The sequence below is a fragment of the Homo sapiens genome, chromosome 1 (genome assembly GCF_000001405.40).
Source record: "Homo sapiens chromosome 1, GRCh38.p14 Primary Assembly".
Classification (NCBI taxonomy): domain Eukaryota; kingdom Metazoa; phylum Chordata; class Mammalia; order Primates; family Hominidae; genus Homo; species Homo sapiens.
The window spans coordinates 120,507,028-120,524,953 of record NC_000001.11 but is presented as its reverse complement, the minus strand read 5'-3'; the positions used below and the strand labels follow the sequence as shown (position 1 = coordinate 120,524,953).

The window sequence follows — 17,926 nt, the reverse complement described above, 5'->3', positions numbered from 1 at the left end:
CATAAGATCTGCTTTAATTAAAACATTGATGAATAACTTCAAGAGTGTCCTCAAGAAATAGAAAGGTGCTGGGCAGTTGTTCCTGCCTCTGTTTCTTCCACATGCTGAGATTTGTAGAGAGAGTTTGTCTGGCAGCATCAGCACAAAGATAATAACCAAAAAGTGAGGTTGGCTGCTTGGCAGGATGGCTTCATCTCCATCTCCCAGTAGCTGCGGAGTGTGATTCTTCTGCTGCCAATGAAATAGTTGGTGTTGTCTTCCCTGTCGCTCCACCTTATTCTAATTCTGTAACTGTGTCTGCCGACTGTTTCCCCAGTGCCCTGAGTCCTCCCTCTCAGCTGTCCTTGAGGGAGTTGGAGTTACAGGCAGGGCCTTAGGCTTTGCGCCCTGATATCTTAAGCCATCATCTCCCGCCATCCAGGACTCAAGTGTTGCAGAGCTGATGAAGCTTCCTGACTTGTGAGAAAACTCGCAGGGCTCTGTCTCCTCAGGAAGAGAAAGAATCACCGTATTCACACCCTCCAGTCCTGTTTCAACCTCGTTTGTTTGCATTTGTTTTAATTTCTTACGTGCTTTTCTCCCTCACCATCTCTGGATTCTCCTCTTCTCCATGGGGAAATTCCTCCTGCTCATTTTGTGTGTCCTTCCCACCCAAACCAGTCCCCAGGGCCCTTATGCCTGACTAAGGAGGTTCTGGTTAGGGAGTTTATTTTAGATCTGCTTTTTTTGTTTGTTTTTGTTCTCATTGAAAACTGCCTTTGCAATCTCATGTTTCTCTTGGGTCCTCTTTAATGGCCTAACTTCTTCAAACCATGATTTTCTTTTAGCTTGTCAAGGTGGCTTTGGAGAAAAGTCTGGCAACTGTGGAGACCCAGAACCCATCTTTTTCCCCTCCTTCTCCGATGGGAGGGGACAGTAACAGGTGTCTTCAGGAAGAAATGCTCCACCTGAGGGCTGAGATCCACCAGCACTTAGAAGAGAAGAGGAAAGCTGAGGAGGAACTGAAGGAGCTAAAGGCTCAAATTGAGGAAGCAGGATTCTCCTCAGTGTCCCACATCAGGTAGAACATTCTTCCCAGGGAAGGGGAGCTTGCGGGTCATGAGGCACCACAGCCAAGGGGTGCCTATCCCAGGCTCCATGCATTAATATTTCTACAAATTCTTTAGATAAAAGTAAGTAATATTGGCTAATGGTAATCACTTTCTGTTATTCAAATAATCCTGGTCTTAATTCAGTATAACAGTGCCCACTATTATTGTGCATCTGCCAGTCATACATATGACAGTCATGGTGGAAACCTCCTTGTTACATGACCAGTATTGCTGTTTTTAATTGACCAAAACGTATAAGGAATCCCTGCTACCTAATATGTCTCACTGCTGTATACAGAACCAGAACAGTTCACGAAGGAGGAGGAATTTTTTTTTTTTTTTTCGTTGAGATAGAATCTCGCTCTGTCGCCCAGGCTGGAGTGCAGTGGCAAGATCTTGGCTCACTGACTGCAAGCTCCGCCTCTCGGGTTCATGCCATTCTCCTGCCTCAGCCTGCCGAGTAGCTGGGACTATGGGAGCCCGCCACCACGCCCGTCTAATTTTTTCTTTTTGTATTTTTAGTAGAGACGGGGTTTCACCATGTTAGCCAGGATGGTCTCAATCTCCTGAACTCGTGATCCCCCCGCCTCAGCCTCCCAAAGTGCTGGGATTACAGGAGTGAGCCACCGCACCCGGCTGGAGGGTTTGTGTAGAGGCCCCTCCCTCTCCTCTCAGCTCTCACTCATAAGTCCTTCAATCATAGAGTATCAATTTTAATCATCTCTGCTGCTTTAGTAATTTTACAAAAATAGCAGGTAGCTCATTGATTGGTTAGATTGGCCACTCTGTCTTTGATGGCTTTTTGTCAAAAGCTCCTTGGAGAACATGCTGATACTGTAGGGCTGATCCATTTATTCATTCACTCCCAGGACTATAATCATCACTGCCTGTTTAAAGTACAGCTGTATGACTTCTAAATCATGCCCTGTTTTTTCCCTGCATGTTACTTACCACTTAAATTTCCCTGAATAATGTTAGCACTTTGAAAAGGGCCCAGGCATCTAGCCTCATGTCGTTGTTTCATAGCTGAGGAAACTCAGGCCTAGAAAGTTTCAAGTGACTTGCTCAAGGTTGCATAATAGTCTGTGGCTCCCAATTTCTAACATCTAAACCTTGCTTCTATACTACATACTTTGTCAAACAATTTTTAAAAAATTCTTGTGATTGTTCTAAGTGCTGATTCTTTTGCTCTGAATTATCATAATAACTTTTTCCTTAAGTTCTACTTAAAGCATATTATTTTACTTAAATTTTTGTATGTGTAAACTTAATTGAGTTGTCATGGGTAAGAACAGTACATCTCTTTTGATTCTATTGTTGAACCTACAATCAAACCATCTATAGCTATCCCTGTGGATTATTTTCCTTTGTCCTCAGAGTTACTAACCTGAGACTCTGATTTGTTCAACCCTCCACCCAACCTACAGAATCACTTATACTGTAGAAGGTAGAATCTAATGCATTGTTCTTCCTTTCAAGAAGGTTTTGTTGAGTTTTTCTTTTATTTGTTTGTATTTAAAAATATCAGTTTTTTTTAATATGAAGTTAGAACATAATATTAAATATTCTTTTCCATATACACATGCGCCCTCTTTATCCCCTTTCCACATCCCAGTTTTGGTAAAATACCTATCCCCTTTTTCTTTATTGAGAAACTATCTCATAGATTGTCTGTATCCTATGTCCTATTTTCCTCCCAGAAACACACCAGACAAGCTCTGCTGTAGGTTCCAAGACTCCTGGATTCTGAGAAATTCAATCTAGGTGCATAGCCCACTGCTGATCCTTCAATTTGTGAATTACCCATTTCCTGTGCATCCTCTAGCTCAGGGGTTCTCAGTTTAGCATGCTTAAGAATCACCTGTGGACTGGGCGTGGTGGCTCATGCCTGTAATCTCAACACTTTGGGAGGCCAAGGCAGGCGGATCACCTGAGGTCAGGAGTTCGAGACCAGCCTGCCCAACATGGTGAAACCCCTTCACTGCTAAAAATACAAAAGTTAGCTGGGCGTGGTGGCACGTGCCTGTAGTCCCAGCTACTCGGGAGGCTGAGGCAGCAGAATTGCTTGAACCCAGGGGTGGAGGTTGCAGTGAGCCAAGATCTCACCACTGCACTCCAGCCTGGGTGACAGAGTGAGACTCTGTCTCAAAAAAAAAAAAAAAAATAAATAAATAAATAAAAATTAAAAAATCACCTGTGGAACTTAAGTAAAATGTGGATTCATAGGCCTTAGCTCTACAGCTTTTTAAACAAGCACCTTATGGGATTCTGGTGTTGGTATTTCTCAGGTCTGCAGCTAGTACAGCAGGGATTGAATGACTTCCCTGTTAGACCCTGAGCTAGCCATACCGTATATGCAATTTCATTTAAGCATCTGCTAACTCTACTAGGTAAGTGTTATCATCCTTATTTTATATAAAAGGAAACTGAGGCTCAAAAAAGTTAAGTGAATAGACTTGTTACAGCCATGTTTGCTTCCACTCAACCCTAGTATGAGTTTGTTGTTGTGGAAAGAATTTATCTGGAATGTCTTGGTGCAAATTAGCTGTTTTGGTCAATTTTATTTCTTCAACAAATATGAATGATTTATGTGGCAGGCACTTGTGTAGGCACTGGGGATATGGGATGAATAGGACAGACACAGTCCTGCTCTCAAGAAGGTTATCTCCATCACGTGAGCCAGACATAAAGCAAACAATTATCTAAGTACATTTTGATTATAGTAATAGTTCTGATTAGCGTTATTTATTTATTCTGTGTTCCTAAGTCCCAATGGTTTGAAACTGACTGATGATAAATAATAGAACTGTAAAATTTATAACAATAAATTTGTTACAGAAAAGGTCTTATTTTTTAACAGTGTAAGTACTCTGGTTTATTCCAGAGGCTACTAAAAATTAGAACATATGAGGCTATGGGGCACAAGTAAAGAAAACTAGCCTGCATGTCTTGAGTCCAAGGTTTCTAGTGATGGTGCTGCCACCAAGAAGCTGTGGAAGTTTGGGCAAGTCTCTTACTTTTCCTGAGCCTTGGCTTTCTTGTATATAAAATTAGGGGGCTGTGGTAGGTCTCAGGTTGCTTCATGCTCTGGGGTAAGTCTGAGTTAATTGCGGGCTGAGATGTTGGTAAGAGGTAGTATTAGGAACTGTTGTGAGGACCAGACCTAGCCCTCAATTAAGTGTGTTTCCTGCAGGAACACCATGCTGAGCCTTTGCCTTGAGAATGCGGAGCTGAAAGAGCAGATGGGAGAAACAATGTCTGATGGATGGGAGATCGAGGAAGACAAGGAGAAGGGCGAGGTGATGGTTGAGACTGTGGTAACCAAAGAGGGTCTGAGTGAGAGTAGCCTTCAGGCTGAGTTCAGAAAGCTCCAGGGAAAACTGAAGAATGCCCACAATATCATCAACCTCCTCAAAGAACAACTTGTGCTGAGTAGCAAGGAAGGGAATAGTAAACTTACTCCAGAGCTCCTTGTGCATCTGACCAGCACCATCGAAAGAATAAACACAGAACTGGTTGGTTCCCCTGGGAAGCACCAACACCAAGAGGAGGGGAATGTGACTGTGAGGCCTTTCCCCAGACCCCAGAGCCTTGACCTTGGGGCTACCTTCACAGTGGATGCCCACCAAGTAAGTGTGGGCTTAGATTGAGTGAAAAACAATTGGAGAAGGGCTTGAGATGACAGTGTTTACCTTAAAACATTCTCCCATATGAATCAGGAGGTACCAAGAGAAGGGTCTCTTTGTACCACAAACAATAATAGTAATATTCTGCCTACATTCAGCCTTTAGAAAGGCTTTTATAACATAAATATTTCTTGAGTACTTAATTTTTCAGATAACACACTAGGCATTGGCATGGGGCAATAAAACCAATGGCTGCCCCTGAGATACTTAATATTGTCGGGAAAGATGGCACACAAACAGGTAATTTTAACAGGATGTGGTAACTGCTGTAACATAGGGATGCATCAGGTTATGAGGCAGCCCAGACAAGTGGTATGTAATGACATCCCTTATCACTGCCATTTTTTTGTCACAGCTCATCACAGGTGTCTGTTCCTGGTCTTCAGATGGGTTACTGGGATCCTCTTTAGGGAAGGAGCCATGCTGAAGATTCAGTGAAATGGAGAATACAGGGATTCTGAGAGAATCAATGGGACAGAATGTGAGGGGAGATGAGTGGTCTCTTTTTGACCACTGAGAAAACATTTCCTGAGAGCTCCTCTGTAGACCTGATTGGTGCTGTGCTGTGTGCTGTGGATACAGATATGAAGAAAACATTATCCCAGCGCTCCAGGAGCTCCATCTGGAAAGCAAGTCACTGCCAAATGGCATGAGAAGTGCTGTGACAGACTTGAGTAAAGTCCACAGGGTTCAGAAGGGGCGGTGGTCGTCACTGCATGGGGGTGACCTCAGACTGTCCTGATCCCTGTATTGGCCCCTTTCACAGTTGGATAACCAGTCCCAGCCTCGTGACCCTGGGCCTCAGTCAGCGTTTAGCCTACCAGGGTCCACCCAGCACCTGCGCTCCCAGCTGTCACAATGCAAACAACGCTATCAAGATCTCCAGGAGAAGCTGCTGCTATCAGAAGCCACTGTCTTTGCTCAGGCTAACGAGCTGGAGAAATACAGAGTTATGCTTAGTAAGTAACTATGACTTACTAGTAAAGAAAACTAGCCTATGTGTCTTATAAGTTCTGTATGTTCTATACCGACATAACGTGGTTATTGAGCACACGAAGTGTGGCTAGTGCAACTTGGACATTTGGTTTTATTTAATTTTAGTTGATGTAGTATAAAGTGGCCATATGTGGCTGCTAACTACCTTATTGGACAGTACAGGTCTAGGGTCTTGGGACTCTAAATTAGTTCAGCTCCATTCAACATTTATTGAACCCCTGCGGATAAAGCACTTGCCAGCTTCAATGGGGCTGCTAGAGATGATAGTGTACAATCCCTGACTTACAGATATCTGGTCCCAACTAAAGCCTGGGTTATCTGAAGGGGAGATAATGGCAAATGCAGGCTCCTCCTTTGGAAAGAAATTCTGCTTCCTGGAGCTGGTGATCTCTTCTCCCACCAGTTCAGAGAAGCTTCTCTCCCACTGTGGATCTGCCTTCCGTGCCTCAAAAGGTTAGGGTATGTGCCATTGAGGCTGAGGGCATATGTGGGAAATTCAGACATTCTGTAACACCTGCTTCTCTTCCCAAGCAGGTGAATCCTTGGTGAAGCAGGACAGCGAGCAGATCCAGGTGGACCTCCAGGACCTGGGCTATGAGACTTGTGGCCGAAGCGAGAATGAGGCTGAACGGGAGGAAACCACCAGTCCTGGTAAGAGCACAGGGTGTGGGGCTCACCCCTCCCTGGAGTCAGCTGTCACATTTGGATGCTGTTGGCCAATTCCACACCTGACAAGTATTGGGGAAGAGGAGGACAGGAGGTTAATAGGAGAAATCTTACCCAAAATGAGGCTGAGTATAAGTTTGAATTTCTACAATTAGTTTTTGGCATACTGCTAATAACAATAATAATATAAAATTCTATCCAACTGATTATTATAGAAATACTAAGGCCTACTTAGAGACCAGATAAGGTTTTAGAAACATGCAAGCCATAAATTAAAAATAATTTTGTTTTGCATTATAAAAAGACTACAACTATAGGGCCACCCACCACATTGAAAACCAGAAGAGAAAAAAAACACAATCTCTCTCATTCTTGAGGCAGTGTAGTGTGGCAGTTAAGAGACAAGATCCTGGGGCCAGACTGGTTGGTTCAAATCCCAGTTTGAAAACTTTCCTATGTCCCAGTTTCTTCATGTGTTAAAATAGTAATAAAGGAACTACCTACCCCATCAGGTACTAAGTCAATTAAATGAGTAAATTCTTATAAAATGCTTTAGAACAGTGCCTGGCATCTGGTAAAATGCCATGGATTAGTTCTCATTCTGACTACCACTGCCCTAATACACTGATGTTAACATGCTGATATATTTATTTGAAGCCTTATTTTCCTATGCCTATTTTTCATACAGTTGTAACCCAATAAACTTTTAAATTATAGTAAAATTTAAAGAGCATTAAACTTTCAGCATGCAGTAATAGCTTGTCCTACATTCTTGTGGCCATCCTAAATAGATAAGGCCATGTTAATGTCTTAAGAAACACCAGTGTGTGTGGAATGAACACAGGACATTGGAGGATTTGAATTCTGGCTCTGCCATGTGCTAGTTTGAGTGATCTAGAACAAGCTAGTTTACCACCTCTCTTTAAGTTTTGGTTTCCCAGTCAGTAAAATAGAAAGTGATGAAACCTAACTTGTAGGTATAAGGAAGATAAGAAATATTGTATTTGAATGCCTAGTACAGTGTCAGGGTTGAATAAAGTACTACTTCAACTTTTTCCCTAGTAATTATTGTCCTCATGACCAAACCTGCCTCCTCTCAAAGGCAGTGGCCACAACAGCACATCCAACTTTTATTTAGGAAGACATCTTTGTCTTTTTTCAGAGTGTGAGGAGCACAACAGCCTCAAGGAAATGGTCCTGATGGAGGGGCTGTGCTCTGAGCAGGGACGCCGGGGCTCAACACTGGCTAGTTCCTCTGAGAGGAAGCCCTTGGAGAACCAGCTAGGGAAGCAGGAAGAGTTCCGGGTATATGGAAAGTCAGAAAACATCTTGGTCCTACGAAAGGACATCGAAGATCTGAAGGCCCAGCTGCAGAATGCCAACAAGATCATTCAAAACCTCAAGAGCCGGGTCCGGTCCCTCTCAGTTACAAGTGATTATTCGTCTAGTCTGGAAAGACCCCGGAAGCTGAGAGCTGTTGGCACCTTGGAGGGGTCTTCACCTCATAGTGTCCCTGATGAGGATGAGGGGTGGCTGTCTGATGGCACTGGGGCTTTCTACTCTCCAGGGCTTCAGGCCAAAAAGGACCTGGAGAGTCTCATCCAGAGAGTATCCCAGCTGGAGGCCCAGCTCCCAGAAAATGGACTAGAAGAGAAGCTGGCTGAGGAGCTGAGATCAGCCTCGTGGCCTGGGTAAGGATGGCACTGTTTGGGTACTTTCTTGATTGAAAATGTGTAAGTTCATGCTTGGCGTAGGGTAGCTCAGGCAGTTGGAAGAAAGAACATGTCTGGGTATTCAAAGGGACACTGATTTAAATGGTAGATACAGGTCTGCAGAAAAGACAGGTAGGCAACCAGGAGGGCATAGGATGATGTTCCAGTATCTGGGAGATACCGGGTCTCAGGGATTTCCTCTTAGGGATATATTAGTAAAGATGGTATAGTATAGTAGTAATACTGGAATCAGACTACCTACCTCTGGTGCTTACTACCCATGCAACCTTCTTAACCTTTCTGAGCCTTTGTCCTTACCTATTAAATGAGGATGATAAGAGAACCCATCTCAAAGGGTGGATATTAGGTTTAAATGAATTAATACAACTGCTGACCAGGCGTGGTGGCTCATGCCTGTAATCCCAGCACTTTGGGAGGCCAAGGCAGGTAGAACACCTGAGGTCAGGTGTTCGAGACCAGCCTACCCAACATGGTGAAACCCCATCTCTACTAAAAATACAAAGATTAGCTGGGCATGGTGGTGCACACCTGTAATCCCAGCTATTCGGGAGGCTGAGGCAGGAGAATCGCTTGAACCTGGCAGGTGGAGGTTGCAGTGAGCCAAGATGGCACCACTGCACTCCAGCCTGGGTGACAGAGCAAGAGTCTGTCTCGGAAAAAAAAAAAAAAGAATTAATACAAGTGCTTAGAATAGTGCCTAGCATATGTTAAGCTCTCAATGCTATTTGCCATAGTTATAAGTGTTATTGATACTTAGTGTTGAAAACACAGACATTCATCTTGGTGTGTCCTGGTTATCTATTGCTAAGTAATAACCACTCTAAAACTTAGTGACTTCAAACAACACTTTATTATGCTTCATGGTTCTATGGTTTGACTGGTCTCAGCTGGGTGGTTCTCACTTAGGGTCTCTTGTTTTGGGTCCCATCAGTTGATGGTATGAGTGTTTATGTGATGGCCATCATTGCAAAATATAGTCAGCCACAGTATCATAACATAGAAGAAATTCAGGCATCAGGTGGTGGTTAAAACAGAAGGCATGAAAGGTTCTATCCAGACTTAGGATGAAATGATGCTAATTATTCATTGAGTAACTGCTGTGAATCTATGTGATACTGGTGCTGTAAGGGATGTAAAATGCAGAACTATGTTTATTCTCACAGACCTTATGATTTATCTAGGGACATATAATTAACACATGTATAACAGTTGAAGAACAGTGACATACTAAATTTTTTTTTGATACGGAGTCACTCTGTCATCCAGGCTGGAGTGCAGTGGTGCCGTCTTGGCTAACTACAACCTCCACCTCCTAGGTTCAAGCAATTCTCCTGCCTCAGCCTCCCGAGTAGCTGGGATTACAGGCATGTGCCACTATGCTCAGCTCATTTTTTTTGTATTTTTAGTAGAGGCAGGGTTTCACCATATTGGCGAGGCTGGTCTCAAACTCCTGACCTTGTGATCTGCCTGCCTTGGCCTCCCAAAGTGCTGGGATTACAGGCGTGAGCTACCACGCCCGGCCCGTACTAAGTTTTTTAATGCAATACTTTATCAGGGTAGAATTTACTCTTAAATACCTCCTATGGCTTATGTGCCAGAATTTAGCTTGGGGGAGTTCCTTAGAGACGTTCTCATAGAAATCTCTACAGAAGCCCCCATAACTCCATAAGTTAGCTTCCACTCTTTCCATACTTACTCTTTCCTCTTCTGTCCTGCATTAGGAAATATGATTCCCTGATTCAGGATCAGGCCCGGGAACTGTCTTACCTACGGCAAAAAATACGAGAAGGGAGAGGTATTTGTTATCTTATCACCCAGCATGCAAAAGATACAGTAAAATCTTTTGAGGATCTCCTAAGGAGCAATGACATTGACTACTACCTGGGACAGAGCTTCCGGGAGCAACTCGCCCAGGGAAGCCAGCTGACAGAGAGGCTCACCAGCAAACTCAGCACCAGTAAGTTGGCCACAGGGCTTTGGAATACTCTCAGTCACCCCCACAGTTCCAGCCCCTGGTGGCCACCACATCTCCACTGCAACTTTTTATCCTAAGGTCCTGTTTCTATTTCATTTCCTGGGGCTAATACAGGATCAAGACTGCTCAGTGGGGAGCATGGAGAGGAAAACACAGGGCTGGAGATGCCATGGTTACAACTATAGAAACTTCACCACTAATGGAATGTGACCTGTGGGGCAGGGGCAGCATCTCTCTGATGCTAAGAGGGAGTAGGGGACATGAGATGGAAGGGCTTTGTTATAGGAGGAAGAGCCCTGAACCAAGAACTACAAGACTCAAGCTCTGGCCTGGATGCTGCCACCAACTCGCTAAATGCCTTATCCTTGTGGTGTCTCCATTTATGGCATGGTAATGTGCATGCAGGTACTCCACATATGGATAAAGCGCCATGCTCTTTTATACATGGTTTAGGCACTGGCTGCAGTAGTTCAAGGGCTACATTGGTTATTATTGGGGTCTTCTACTCAGAATTTCCAGCGACTATCCAAGGGAGTAAAGTAGGATCAGACTTGGGAGCCACCCAGCCCACCACCTGGTGGCAGATGCAGAGGTGGGGCAGGGCTTCTTGTCATCTCCTCAGAGACCAGTGCAGGTTCTGCATGAAAGCTGTGGTGGGGCATATGCATTGGGGAGCTAGTCTGCAGCAGGACATGGAGGCTGGAGTGTCCCGCAGGGCAGCTGGGCAAGGGCCTCATGATTAATGGAACAAAAGACATTATAAATGTTTTACCCTGATTTAGGGCAGAGGAAGTCATCATGGTGACCGGCAGGTCAGGGACAGTGGGGTCACTTCTCTAGAGACACAAGCTGAGGTATCCCAGAATAACTGTTCTGGATGCACACATGAAATGCTCACTACTCTGTCTCCAGATAGGCTCCTGCATTTGTAATGCGGGAAGTGGGACCAGCCTAATTTCTTATCGTCTCTTTCTAAATTTGGTTTACAGAGGATCATAAAAGTGAGAAAGATCAAGCTGGACTTGAGCCACTGGCCCTCAGGTAATTCAGAGGAGAATCTGGGAAAGAGATTGGGACCGAGGCCCAAAGGGTCAAGGGTGGCGGCAACTCCACAAATCAAGGGGAATAAAGCAAAGTGCTGAATGTATTGAATTCAGGCATTCATTGAACACCTCACTGTTGTTTTTAACTAAATTCTTTCTTCCCTTTTGGTTGAATTATATTGGCACATTAATTCTCCAGGCTTAGTAACCTAGAAACAGTCTGAGCTAAAAGTGAACTAACTAGGTTTCAAGAGTCTTCTGCCCCACTAAGGGTCCTGCTTTCCTGCTGTGTGTTTAATAAGCAGGATGAGCTTTTTCCAAAGTTGGGTTGACAGCTAATTTAATAGTCACTCAATTGCCCTGGGGGAAAAAAGGAATCATATAACAGGACCTGGTGAAAGAGGCCTAGATGGTGTAGATCACCAGGAGGCTGCAGTGCCTCAGGACCCAGTTCTCAGTGAGTTGCTTCATATAATGATCAATGAAATATGGGCTCAGAGTCCGTTGTAGCCACTAGTTGGGGTTCTTTGTGTCATGCTTGTGTCTCAGACTACATAAATGCTTCTGAAAGTATCTGTAGTGAAGGACACAGTGGTTTTTTTTGTTTTGTTTTGTTTTTATTTCTAATCTATCATAGAAACATATATGGTCTGAATTCAGTTAATTACATGATTCCACTTATCATGCTCTTGGATGTTGGGACAGTGGTTTGTTCTGTGTTTCTCAATGCTTGCTTTCAATTTTTATACTTGTCTTGTTGGAGATGGTAACAAACAGTTCGCAGGCTGCAACTGTTCCAGGGATCATACATTAAGCAGCAGTGCCTTAAAAGGAGGGCTAGCTATGTCTTTGCTTGTCCTCAGCATATTATGTGGCCAGAGCACTAGGTAGCTATTCTCTCTCCATCTACACCCCACCTACACTCCATCCCTAAGCAGAGGTGGGTTATTTCCATAATTATCTGCAGGCATGGTCCCCTTGGCTTACTTGGCTTTTCCTATGAGCCATAGTCAGGACAGGTTGGTTTCGGTGACCTTGGTTTTACCCGTTGTCCCCCTTCTCCCCACCAGGCTCAGCAGGGAGCTGCAGGAGAAGGAGAAAGTGATTGAAGTCCTGCAGGCCAAGCTGGATGCTCGGTCCCTCACACCCTCCAGCAGCCGTGCCTTGTCTGACTCCCACCGCTCTCCCAGCAGCACCTCTTTCCTGTCTGATGAGCTGGAAGCCTGCTCTGACATGGACATAGTCAGCGAGTACACACACTATGAAGAGAAGAAAGCTTCTCCCAGTCACTCAGGTAGCCTCCACTTTCTGGGTGGTACCATCTTTGTCTAGGGTGAGTGGAGAACTCAGGAAACAGGGCTTATAGCTCCACCATGGTGTGTATCAGGCTGAACATAGCTGTGGGGCCAAGTGCCATGCACAGGCACCAGTGGATCAGGATCTTTGCTCTGCTCCTGACTCTACAAGTTACCTCTGTCACCGTGGTCTCCATGGGCACGTACATGCTGTTGGGCACAAAGTGAGCCACTGTGGGGAGAGTGAGAAGATCACGGCAGACTCTTCTTCCTTGGTGACTCTGTCAGATAGATCTTCTTTAAGATGGAAAACCTCCTTCATCTCTCCTACAATGATCTTGCTACTTATTCCTGAGCAGTGGTCCCTAAGTATATGTGGGTGTCCACAGATGCTGCTAGTCTTGCCTGATATTTTTGGAGTTGCCATTTTCATGTTTCAGAGCTCAGAGCACCGCTGTCATCCCTAAGGTGGTTTGCCTCACTATAGGAGCTGTCTGCAAGCAAGAAAATGAACACTGCTAACAGTGCTTGTGCTTGGTTCTTTCCCTGAAAGCAAGACTCTAGCCCTGGTACCCCTGGGTAAACATAAGGGCAGGATTCCAGTTCTCTATAGAACATCATACGTTTTCTTTCATTCATGGGTTTTATAGATTCCATCCATCATTCGAGTCATTCTGCTGTGTTGTCTTCTAAACCATCATCAACCAGTGCATCTCAGGGGGCTAAGGCCGAATCCAACAGCAACCCCATCAGCTTGCCAACTCCCCAGAATACCCCCAAGGAGGCCAACCAAGCCCATTCAGGTATGCAACAGCCAATGGGGCAGAAGCTTCATCTCCCCTTTCTCTGCTGCCTGTTTGACTTTTCTTCAACGACAGAGGTTTGAACTGTTAGGGGCCTAAATGCATCAAAACCTAGACAGAATCGAGAAACCATCCTCATTTTCCAGTTGTGTCTGATTTAAGAAAATATTTTAGAAAATAAGTAATCCACATCAGGTTTTGATCTGCATACCAGTTCTGACCAGTAGTTGGCTAATCATTTAAAAAGAAACATTTTTATTGGTTTTCTCTCATTTTATCCTGGGAGCAAAGAGGCAAAATGTTTCTCCCAGGATTACAACAGCCATAGGATGAAAAGAAATTCACATCTATTGATCCACTGTATGTGTTACCCATTAAATCTGCATGGAGATCCTCTGCAAGAGGTAGTGCTACTTGTAGCCAAGGATGGTGAGAACAGCCTCAGACAAGGTTCTGTTCATAGTACGTTACCATTAATGGATGTATGAATGGATTGGCAGTCCTCCATATGTACATAGTGCATATCTTGGGGGCAGTTAAAGGGGTGCATTTCATTTACAAGTTCAGCTTAGTTGCCGGAGGGTACACTGCTCATTCACAGCCCTGTACCAGGGATGGCAAGAAAAGGCAAACCTTGTCTTCGCCTCCTACCTCCCACCATAGCTGGCTGGCTGCCTTCAGTGTGGTTTGTTGTGAGGTTTGACTTGAGTAGAGGTGCTCCCAGAAAGCACAGTGCTTTCTTCTGCTGCCCTCATTTCCCTGAAAGCAATTCAACTAAAATCTTAAGGAAGAGGAAGTGTTCCAATGCTTCCTGAGCCTGGTTTCAAAGTTTCTAGGCCAGAGTAGGCAGCAGCTGGACCAGAATCATGAGGAAAAGCTGTGCTTCCAGACTTATAGACATCTGCTTAAATGTTGTGGGTTCAAACAGAGCAGTAGGTAAAGAACAGAGGATTTTAAAATCAGAATGCCTCCTCAAAGAATGCCTGGGCTGTGTTACCTGGCAATTTGAGTATATTTGCAGTATTGATCTGAAATGGTGCCAGCACCATTGGGATGTGTTTTAGGATATAATCATTGTCTTCTACATTAGACATTCTCTATGGGTCAGCCTTGGTTTCTGCTCCCTCTCCATTGGCTACCTGCCCTTTAATTGCTTTTAGGGAAGAGGAAACAATTTTAAACATTGAACCTTGCCAGGGTTTCTAAAAACCTGTCTGTAGATGGGCTGCCTAAAGATCACCAGGGAAGACTTTTTTTAAATGTAAATTTCATGTTCCAAGAATTTATAATTCTGTAAGTCTACATTAAGGCCTAGACAGAATCAAGAAGGCCTAAAGAATCTACATATATTAGAAGTTTTTGCTATGTGATTTAAATGCCCAGAAGGATTTGCAAGCCATTTTGTCTAAGCCACTCTACCAAGGCATCTATTTTTAATTTGGTCAATGAACACGTTGATTTGGAATTCTGAAGTTTGTTTCCATCAGAGTCCTGAACTGCATGCACTAGTAATGAAAATTTCCCCACAGCCTTTGTTCACATCTCTCCTACTCAGGATGGGACCTGATGCTGTCAAAGAGGAGCTCTAGGTAGAGAAAGAGTCTTGTCCCAGGGCCAAGGACTGATACATGCTGGGAGCAGAGCCCCAGGGGCCCTTGAAAGCATTCAGGCTCTCTGACTTGTCCATGTCCAGGATTGCTGGGGTGGGGCTCAATAATGCCACCTTACCTTCTTTAGCCAATTGCTTTCAAGATGAACACAGAGGATATATGCAGGATAGCCCTGGCAGGGGAGAAGAGGGAAGGTCAGCCAGGCCAGCCTCTGGTAGCAATGGTCACCCTTGGCTGTCTTATCCTGTACCACACTAGATGATAGCCACTCCGCAGGGTGATGTCTGGTCAGGGAATGCTTTTACCTTCTCAATCTTTTACCCATTCTTTTCTCTCATTTTCTCTTGATGATGTGTCTCTTTTCTCCTTAACTTTCTGTTCCTAGGCTTTCATTTTCACTCCATACCCAAGCTGGCTAGCCTTCCTCAGGCACCATTGCCCTCAGCTCCATCCAGCTTCCTGCCTTTCAGCCCCACTGGCCCTCCCCTCCTTGGCTGCTGTGAGACACCAGAGGTCTCCTTGGCTGAGTCTCAGCAGGAGCTACAGATGCTGCAGAAGCAGTTGGGAGAAAGTGAGCACTTCTGCATTTGTGTGCTTGCGATTGGCAGCCCCACACTGTGTTGCTCTGCATGGCTCGGGCTGGATGGCAGAGTTTAAAAAAACAACACGGGTACACGTTACAAATGTAAGAGGGAGGGAAAGCTCTGTTTGCTTATTTTTTGGAAATGTATTTACTGTTATTTCTGTGGTGTGTATGTCTCATCAGTTAACAGGTAGATATGTTCACGAGGCTCTAGACCTGGTGCTCTCACACTGTAGACAGTGTTGGATACCACCAAGTATGCTGAATCCCTGACAGACTGGTGGACTGCTCATTGGTAGGGGGTGGGAGAGAGATGTTATGCTTTGCCTATGCAGGATGAAGTGGCCAAGAAAAAGATGGCCACATTCAGTGGGCTCCTTTGTGTGACTATTATATTTTTCTGCTGTGAAATGCTGTTAATCAAGTTCAGTTCCTGATATCATTAGGTTGGAGCAAAAAGGGTAATGATAGAGGGATTCAGAAGAGGAAATGATGAGCCCCTTTTCCTACTGCACAGGGTTGGTCCCTGCCCTGGGACAGGTGACACGTAGGCAGCTTAGAACCACAGCACCAGCTATGGCATCTGACTGTGAATCCCATCCTCTGACTCCCAAAGATAATTGATCTCATGTAGTTACGTAGACTGTGGACAGTCACCTTTTAGAAAGTGCTTTGATGTATTTGTAGGCTGGATGCTCATCATAAATTTAGTGTGCTGGTGGTCACTGATAGCTTAGAAAAAAATGACAACCTTCACATGAATTTGCTCTTTCATAGCACCTTAGGCACAACAGTTAAAAAGCAGTTTGAATGAACTTAAACTCATTTGTCAGGCACTTTCTGTGCCTGTAAAGAAGCTTAGGTGAGCCAGAGACTGATAGGGTCACCATGCCAGAAGTTTCTAGTGATGCAAGACAACAGCCAAGAATTTGCATCCCCCTCCCTACAGCCCCAAATGTCATGTGGACCAGCATATTTCTTTCCTTCTTCCTCTTTTTTTTTTTTTTTTTTTTTTTTGAGACAGGGTCTTACTTTGTCACGCAGACTGAAGTGCAGTGGCACGATCTCGGCTCACTGCAGCCTCTACCTCCTGGGCTCAAGCAACTATCCCACCTCAGCCCCCCAAGTAGCTGGGATTACAGGTGTGTGTCACCACACCTGGCTAATTTTTGTATTTTTTGTAGAGACAGGATTTCGCCATGTTGCCAAGACTGGTCTAGAGCTCCTGAGCTCAAGTGATCGGCCCACCTTGGTTTCTGAAAGTGCAGGGATTACAGGTATGAGCCACTGCACCCAGCTTAGCCTATTTATTTTGTCAACCCAGGAAATGGGTACTTTGTCTAATGCAGGGAACTGTAAAGCTCAGGGAAGTGAAGTTACTTGTTCAAGGTCACTGGTAAGTGGGAGAGATGGGGTTGAATCTGGTCTTCTGCTCCAGGTTTTATGTTTCTGTTATATCTTTTCTACTTAGGATGGCTTTGTCACCATCCTGCTTAGAGTATGGAGCTGAGCTCAGCTGATCAAACTCTGGGGACTCGTTGCAACAATTTTTTCCCTCTCTTTAGAGACCAGTAGGAAGTGCTGCTGTTTCTGACCTAAAACTTGTTATTTTAGCAGTTCTGGCACCAACAATGAATGGGCAACAAATGTGTCCCATGACAAATGGCAAGAGTATTTTCTAGCTTCCATTTCTTTATCTTGCCTCCTTTTCCTTTATCTTTCCACATTTGTCCATTTGTCTTTGCCCAAACGGAAGGATGGAAGGAGAGCACTGTCCATGAAAAAGGGTCTGTTGTTTTGGGTTAAATTGGAATTACATCAAGTCTGAGGCCATTGACCGGAGTTCAAATGGTCCCAGCCTAGATGAGGAAGATTGTAGCCCTTTCTTTCTCCACCTGAAGTCAAGGTCCTCTCCAAGGGACCATTGCTTATACATGCTCATTGTTTGCTTTGAGCCAAGTTTCCGTGTGGACAGTGGTGCATGGTGGCCTCTCAGGTCCCTGGGTTAAAATCTTGTGCAAGAGTCTGTATGGTATCTTTGCATGGTTTAGAGCATGTACTGTGTATTGTGTGGCTAAGGGACTGGAACATGAGAATACTGATCATAGTTACTGATAGACTTAAAACCTCACATGGCCTTGATTAAAAAGTAAGCTGACTATCTGCAACCACTGATTTCTCCCTTTGCCTTGTGTTCGGATGGGGTTGAAGGCAGTTTGAAAGAGGTAGGAAATCATGTATTTGTTGCATTCCTTCTAAAATGTAGGTGCTTAAATTTTTAACCTTCTTCCTCAACTAAGTGATCCTAATGAACATCTAGTATTTTGCAAATTAGAAGAGAGACTCATGACAAGACTTCCCAAACTTCTGCCTATTAGAATTACCTAAAATGAATTTAAAACATCCATTGTTCAAGATGTATCCCATATAGACTAAGGCAAAATC

At 44.4% G+C, this 17,926-nt stretch overlaps 1 pseudogene across 2 annotated transcripts in view; it reads left to right on the top strand.

Moving 5' to 3' along the window:
- PDE4DIPP2 (PDE4DIP pseudogene 2) overlaps positions 1 to 17,926 on the top strand; it is a 195,809-nt pseudogene that overhangs the window by 140,483 nt on the left and 37,400 nt on the right. Inside the window, exons 23-32 of one of the 2 annotated variants that reach the window (NR_144516.1) lie at positions 828 to 1,060; positions 4,285 to 4,720; positions 5,544 to 5,736; positions 6,305 to 6,424; positions 7,602 to 8,130; positions 9,894 to 10,129; positions 11,137 to 11,188; positions 12,261 to 12,484; positions 13,136 to 13,288; positions 15,284 to 15,469. The product of NR_144516.1 is annotated as a PDE4DIP pseudogene 2, transcript variant 1 (transcript). Of the gene's footprint in view, positions 1 to 827; positions 1,061 to 4,284; positions 4,721 to 5,132; positions 5,737 to 6,304; positions 6,425 to 7,601; positions 8,131 to 9,893; positions 10,130 to 11,136; positions 11,189 to 12,260; positions 12,485 to 13,135; positions 13,289 to 15,283; positions 15,470 to 17,926 lie in introns of both variants that reach the window. The other variant, NR_144517.1, reaches the window with a different exon arrangement.